This window comes from Homo sapiens, chromosome 10, assembly GCF_000001405.40.
Source record: "Homo sapiens chromosome 10, GRCh38.p14 Primary Assembly".
Classification (NCBI taxonomy): domain Eukaryota; kingdom Metazoa; phylum Chordata; class Mammalia; order Primates; family Hominidae; genus Homo; species Homo sapiens.
In genome coordinates, this window is record NC_000010.11 from 81,728,420 (window position 1) to 81,736,408 (window position 7,989).

The following is a 7,989-nucleotide window of genomic DNA, read 5'->3' on the forward strand; positions in this document are numbered from 1 at the left end:
AGATAGAGCTGATATGTCAAGGCAGGGAGATTGCAATGGAGAAATAGTTTAATTCACGCAGAGCCGCAGAATGAGAGACTGGAGTTTTATCATTACTCAAATCAGTCTTTCCAAGAATTCAGGGGCTAAGGTTTTTCAAAGGTAGTCTCCGGGAAGAGGTGGGGTTGGCTGCTGATTGGTTGGGGGGGTTGCAATCATAGGGGTGTTGGAAATGATCCTCCTGCAGGCTGAATCACTTCTGGGTGGAACCACAGGAACAGTAGGTGGGTACAGGTGGAACCATCATTGGTGGATCCTGGTCAGGCAGTAGGTGTCTGACATGCAAAAAACCTGCAAAGATATCTCAAAATGCAAATCTTAGGTTCCACAATAGTGATGTTATTTGCAGTAGCAACCGGAGAAGACAGATGCCTGTCTTAAAACCTCTGGAATAATGCCTGACAATTGTTTATGTCTGTGCCTTAGCAGGGTTCAGGCTTCTCTCCTTCTCCTAGCCTGGTGGCTTCTCATTAGCTTTACAAATGCAGTTGAGTTTTGGGTATTATCATTTAAACTGTAAACTAAATGTCTCCCAGTGCTAGCCCAGGAATAATCAAAGGCAGTTGGAGGGCTAAAGGCATGATGAGAATTGGCTAGATTTTCTCACTAATTTTGCAAAGGCAGTTTCATATCAATGAAGAAAAAAGAGTAGATGAAAGGTTATGTCCTAGAGGAGTGGCCTCTGCCTTGACTAGGGAAGGGTTTATTAAAACCTGTGAAGGGACTCTAAGCATTATTTGAGCACCACCTAGAAACCAACTTTGATCTAAAAATCTTTAAAATTTTTATGTATACATTATACCAAACTCCTGAGTATCATCTCCTTCTAAATGTGTCTAACTTAGAGGGACTATTTCTCTGAGAATCTAAGCATTCAATAATCTATTTTTGTGTGTTAATTAACACTGCAGACATTTAAATTCTCAATAATTGAATCAGCTAGCTGGACATCATGGTTTTATTTTGTCTTTAAGGTACTAGAGATGAAGATTGTATGCATCTGCCACATGAAATCCCTTCTCTGCTAGGATTTCTCAGATTTTCTTTCTTGTTTCTTGCCTTCTGGGAAAGAAAGAAAGAAGAAAGAAAGAAGGAAAAGAAGGAAAGAAGGATGGAAGGAAGGAAGGAAGGGGGGGGAAAGAGAGAGGAAGGGAGAAGGGGAAGAAGAGGAAAGGGGACACGTTCAACATAAAACTCTGTTTCTAAAGAGAAGGGAAAACATTTGTTTAGGAGCCAGTTAAACAGGTGTACAAGGCAATGAGGCTAAAGACTTGGAAAAAGGTTTTCCATTAGTATGATATAAGCTGACATTTAAAAATTTACCCACATTGTCTAAATCTCATTACAGATAATAGTTTTATTTATTATTTCAGCCTCAAAGATGAGAAAGTTGAAGTTAACAGGGCTGGAATACATGCCAAGCTATTAAATAACAGAGGCTGAATTGCACCCAAGACTATCTACTCCCCAGCCGACTTTGCTAGTCACTACTCTGTGATGATGTCGATGAAAAGAGTCAAACCCTGTAAAATATTTGAAGAGATTTATTCTGAGCCAAATATGACTGACCGTGGCTGTGACACAGCCCTCAGGTCCTGAGAAAATGTGCCCAAGGTGGTTGGGGTGCAACTTGGTTTTATACAGTTTAGGGAGACATGATACTTCAATCAAATACACTTAAGAAATACATTGGTTTGGTTCAGAAAGGCAGGACAACTTGAAGTGGGGGGTGATTCCAGGGTATAGGTAGATTTTTAAATTTTCTAGCTGATGATTGGTTGAGTTTGTCTGAAGGCCTGGGATCTGTAGAAAGGAAACGTCTGGCTTAAGAAGATTGTGGAGCCCAAAGTTCTTATTGTGCAGAGGAAGTCTTCAGGTAGCAGGCTTCAGATAAAATAGATTGCAAATGCTTCTTATTAGACTGAAGTTCTGTGTTGATATTAATGCCAGAGTGATAATAACAAGGATGCCTGATCCCCATTTCCCGTCATTGTTCCCAGACTGAACCGAGGGTTGGGCTGCTTATTCTCATGGCCCAATAACGAGATGCAGATGAAATGGGAAAGAAGAGAGTTTACTTCTATAACCGGGTACAGGGAGAAGTCCGGGGAAATATTGCAAGACCAACTCAAAATTACAAAGTTTTCCACCGCTTATCTACCTTGTAAGTTTTATGTCTACATGTAAGCGTGCATTCATCTAAGGACATAAGTGATTAACTTCTTCCGATCTCTAACTAAGATCTGAGTCCTGAAGACCTTCCTCTGGAGCCTCAGTAAATTTGCTCAATCTAGATGCATCCAGATAGCTGGGTGATTACCCTTATCTTGTCTCCTGCTAAATCATGGAGGTTGGGGAGTTCCTTTAGACCCCAATAAAACTTGTTTGTGGTGGTCTGGAGAGTTCCTCAAGACCCCCAATAAAACTTGTTTAATCCTAAACTGATCCTGTTATGATTTTCTCTGTTATCTTGTCATGCTTCAAGGCCCAGGAAAGGCCTAGGCAAAACTCTTGGTGGGCTTTTGTTACATTCCAGCGTTTGTAGAAGGGCACTGGCTCTATCAGCTTTTAATATTTAACTTAACCAGTTAGTCAGTGCTGAAAGAGTTGCCATGGAGGCCTGCCTGTTCAACAGTTAGTGAGACCTGGCTTGCCACATCAAGGCCTGAGCCAGTCTTTGAGGTTATATTTTAAGAGTGCCCTGGCTGAGGAGGAAGTCCATTCACTGGTTGGGGTGCCTTAGAATGTTATTTTGGGCTTACAAAGGTAAGCTGGAATTCTTTTTACTTCCTAGGAACAGTGATATCATTACTATGGTGATGAACATATTTGTTTTACTACATTTTTAAGTAAGCCAAATTGTCTTTTGGTAAAGTAAGAGAATGGTATTCAGTGCCTCTATTGGGATTAAGTAGTGATAGCTTTTCGACCTACAAAGGCAGTTCAGTGTACCAAAAAGAGCCTGCAAGTGCAAATCACAGTGACACACATTTCTCTGCTGTTTTCACAATTTGTACAGCCTAGCCAAATTGCTGATCTCCACTGAGCCTCAATTTGCTTTTCTAAATGGGAGAAATCAACACCATAGAGAACTCTGTTACCTCCCTACAGCTGATATGAAATACTATGACTACTGTTTCTCTAACCACAATATTTCCTTTTTTAGTATTTACACATTTCTCATTTTAATGTTTCTGGCTCTGAAATATTTCTTACAATCTATGTATATAGTTAGTGTGAGGATATGGTTTTCTTTTTTTATTTCCTGAGAAGTTGTCATTAAATTGCTGGTATGCCTTACAATGAATGAGATCTCCGGACCCAAAAAACACAGAACCTAAAGTCACCAAGGTGGTGACTACACACTATGGTTAAAGGGTCTTAATAGGAAAAGTCAACTCATACAAAAAATAAAAATAAAAAAGGGTTTTTTTTTAAATTGATGTCCACAACATTTTGATTATCTCTAATAGGGCCAAATTATTTAATTTGCAAAGAAGTTTTAGTAAATAACAAGTCTTTGTCTGTATAACTAATATAAAAAACTTATCTCCTGTTTTAAAAATGAGCCAACAGATTTAGAAAGGTTCATAGTTATAGAATCATTAAGTCTGTCCTTCCATTTCTTCCAAGTATCCATTACTCTTACTCTTCTTCTATAGATAAGGGCTTAGAAGCCAGAAGGTATATTAAGAAAGCTGTTGAAATAATTTAAGTTAAAAATAAAAGGAACCTAAAGCATTTGGCAGCAATGAGACTGTAGAAGAGGGGAAAGAATAAGAATGTTTCCGGAGTAGAATCAATAGAATTCCATAAGAGAATACAGGAAATCCATGAGGGAAACAGACCTCTAGACTGAAGGATTAAAGACTTTCTCACTTACTTAGATGCTACTTGTTCATCATGTAACTTAAATGACAACCTGCCTTTTAGCGATTGTCAGCCACCTACTGATAGAGAAGCATGGAAGGGAAGTTCTGGGAAGGGAAGGGTGTGGTCCCTTTAAATAATAGACAAGGAGGACGGGAAGTGTGGGGAAGGGAAGGTCATGGTCCCTGGCCCAGGGATCCACTCCCGGCTTGTGCCCACAGACCTACATGAGAACAGGCACACCTCCCTTTGCACCCAACTGTTGCATTTCCCAAGTCCATCCTGGCCTGCCATGCCCCCATCCTGTGCCTATAAAAACCCCAAGACACTAGCAGGCAGACACACAAGCAGCTAGACATCAAAAGAAACACATGGAAGAAGGCACAAGCAGCTGGATGTTGAGAGCCATCAAGGGGAGCACTCCTGTGGAAGAGCACACGATGGATGCTGGCATGCTGGCAGGCCATCAACTGGGGAACAAGGTGGAGTTTGGCCGGGGCAGTTGGAGGAGAGCCTGGGCCGCTGAGGAGCCCAACTCCAGGGAAAAACCATCTCCCTTCTCCTACCCCATCTGCTGAGAACTACTTCCACACATTAAAACTTTGCACTCATTCTCCAAGCCCACGTGTGATCTGATTCTCATGATACACCCCAGATACCGAAAGCCCTCTGTCCTTGTGACAAGGCAGTGGTCTAATTGAGCTGACTAACACAAGATGCCTAAGGACGGCTAAACTAAAAGAGCACCCTGTAACATATGCTTACTGGGGCTTCAGCTGTAAACATTCACCCCTAGACACTGCCATGGGGTTGGAGCCCCACAGCCTGCCCATCTGTAGGCTCCCCTAGAGGTTTGAGCAGTGGGGCACTGAAGAAGCGAGCCACACCCCCATCACACACCCTGCGAGGGGGGTGAGGGAACTTTCCCTGTTTCACTACTTGTAGTCAGCAGTTACATCCTGTGGAAATGTCCATAGCAGAAAGGATCTCAGCCACTGAGTAAAAATTTGGCAATTACTTAAAATGACTAATTTATTTATTCATTGGAAAATATGAAAAGACCATTTAACTCTCCAGGAACTTGAAAAAAAATGATGTTAGGGAAGTTCTAGGATGACTGAGCAACACATTTCAGCCTCATGGAAAGAAAAGGAATAGAGAAAACCAGTAAGATAATCAAATAAAAATATTAATTAATGTCGGCAGAGATTTCTAACATAGCATCTATTTGATAATAAGATAAGGCTATACAGAAAGAGAAAACACAAATTAGAAAAGGTTTTTGACGTTTGTAAAAAGAGAACAAAATATCAGGACCTTCCAAATTTATTATGCCAAGGGGAAAAGTTAAGCCCTGGAAACTGATTCATGTAACACTGTGGTTTTTCTTCTCTGGTGCATGATCACAGCTCCCTAACCTTTGTGTTGAGATGTTATCCATTAACTGAATTCCCTGTTCTTTATTCAAACCTAGACTAAATGACATTGAGATAGAGAAACTTGTGATTGTTATCTCTTTACAATAGAATGCCAGGCAACCCTTTAGAGTGTAATCAATAGTAGCCAACCAAATCTTGTAACTGTATGTTATCCTTTGTATGAAAAATGCAATTCTTTTTAGCAACTCTGTTTTGCCCGTATAAACAATCTTCATTTTTCCCAATGCAGGGAGCACTGATCATTCTTTTGTGCAGATTTGCTCCTTGGCTGGCTACCCTCATACTTTGAACTTGAATAAACTCTTAACTGGAACTTGAGCCTTTTGATGATTTTAGGTTAACATGTTAAAAATACAAAAATTAAAAAGTCCGCTTAGATTCTGCACTCCTGGTAATACTGGGAGCAAGGCATTTCTGACCCTAATTCCTGGAGGAAATGAAAATTAAAAAAAAAAAAAAACTTTTAAAGAAATTGGCTTTACATTCTGGAAAAAGTTAAAAGACAGAGATAAGTGGCTAGGCCAACTTCCAGGGAAGCACAGGAATCCAGAGGTGAATGTAGCACTTACATACAAAGCCTATTTTGCCCCTTAAGCATTTGCTTATGTTGCAAACTTGTAGCATTTTGGTTCTGATAGACTCACAGACCGAGTGGTAAAAAATCCAGGCTCAGGAAGGCAGGCATATAAAATAAGACACTCCCACATTCTCACCTGAATGAGAGCCTATGATCCCACTGTCAAGATAATGCAGTATCAATACCAAAGGGATGAAAGAACCCTGGGAAATATTCCTGATACATTTTATTGATGAGCTAACTCTACACAAATTTGCAGCTCAGGTTTCCATTATTTTTCAAGGACAATGACGGTAAATAAAAATGAATAAAACAGCTGGCAAGGAAAGAAGACACACCGTAAGTGAGAACTAGGAAAAAAGACCAAGATAGTCATCAGATATCGAAGTGTCCAAACATAAATTATGACATAATGATTCTTGCCATTAAAAATAATACAAGAAAAATGTAAAAATGTCAAGAATCAGAAAAATAGAAAATGAATTATCAGATTTAATAAAGAAAATGAAATACCTAGAAACAACAACAAAAATGTAATAAATAGAATTATAAGCTAATAGATAGCATTAGCTATTCTATTTCTATAATTAATAATAATATTGGAGTTCTCAGGGTGGTTCCAAGATAGCCAAATAGGAATAGCTCCAGTCTACAGCCCCCAGTGTGAGCGACGCAGAAGGCGGGTGATTTCTGCATTTCCAACAGAGGTACTGGGTTCATCTCACTGGGGCTTGTTGGACTGTGGGGGCAGGACAGTGAGTGCAGCACACCAAGCATGAACCGAAGCAGGGTGAGACATCACCTCATGTGGGAAGCACAAGGGGTCAGGGAATTCCCTTTCCTAGCAAAGGGAAGGGGTGACAGACGGCACCTGGAAAATCGGGTCACTCCCACCCTACTACTGTGCTTTTCCAATGGTCTTAGCAAATGGCACACCAGGAGATTATATCCCCCACCCGGCTCGGAGGGTCCCACGTCCACAGAGCCTCGCTCATTGCTAGCACAGCAGTCTGAGATCTGCAAGGCAGCAGCGAGGCTGGAGGAGGGGCACCCGCCATTGCTGAGGCTTGAGAAGGTAAACAAAGTAGCCAGGGAGCTCGAACTGGGTGCAGCCCACCTCATCTCAAGGAGGCCTGTCTGCCTCTGTAGACTCCACCTCTAGGGGCAGGGCATAGCTGAACAAAAGGCAGCAGAAACCTCTGCAGACTTAAATGTCCCTGTCTGACAGCTTTGAAGTGAGTAATGGTTCTCCCAGCACGGAGTTTGAGATCTGAGAATGGACAGACTGCCCCCTCAAGTGGGTCCCTGACCCCCGAGTAGCCTACCTGGGAGGCAGCCTCCAGTAGGGGCAGACTGCAAACTAACACAGCAGGGTACCCCTCTGAGACGAAGCTTCCAGAGAAATGATCAGGCAGCAGCATTTGCTGTTCAGCAATATTCACTGTTCTGCACCCTCCATTGCTAATACCCAGGCAAACAGGGTCTGGAGTGGACCTCCAGCAAACTCCAACAGACTTGCAGCTGAGGGTCCTGACTGTTAGAAGGAAAACTAACAAAAAGAAAGGACATCCATACCATAACCCCATCTGTACGTCACCATCTTCAAAGACCAAAGGTAGATAAAACCACAAAGATGGGGAAAAAACAGAGCAGAAAAGCTGAAAATTCTAAAAATCAGAGTGCCTCTCCCCCTCCAAAGGAACGCAGCTCCTCGCCAGCAATGGAACGAAGCTAAATGTAGAATAAGACTTTGACAAGTTGAGAGAGGAAGGCTTCAGAAGATCATATTTCTCCGAGCTAAAGGAGGAAGTTTGACCCCATTGCAAAGAAGCTAAAACCCTTGAAAAAAGATTAGATGAATGGCTAAATAGAATAACCAATGTAGAGAGGCCTTAATGACCTGATGGAGCTGAAAAACATGGCACGAGAACTACATGACAAATGCACAAGCTTCAGTAGCCGATTCAATCAACTGGAAGAAACAGTATCACTGATTGAAGATCAAATGAATGAAATGAAGCAAGGAGAGAAGTTTAGAGAAAAAAGAGTAAAAAGAAATGAACA

At 41.4% G+C, this 7,989-nt stretch overlaps 1 annotated feature.

Annotated features, from left to right (window-relative positions):
* Positions 210–808: an enhancer, noted in NCBI's record as "OCT4-NANOG hESC enhancer chr10:83488385-83488983 (GRCh37/hg19 assembly coordinates)". NCBI's record gives its function as "activates a minimal SCP1, AML or CMV promoter by ChIP-STARR-seq in primed H9 embryonic stem cells {active_cell/tissue: H9 hESC(primed)}" and the evidence as "EXISTENCE:reporter gene assay evidence [ECO:0000049][PMID:30033119]".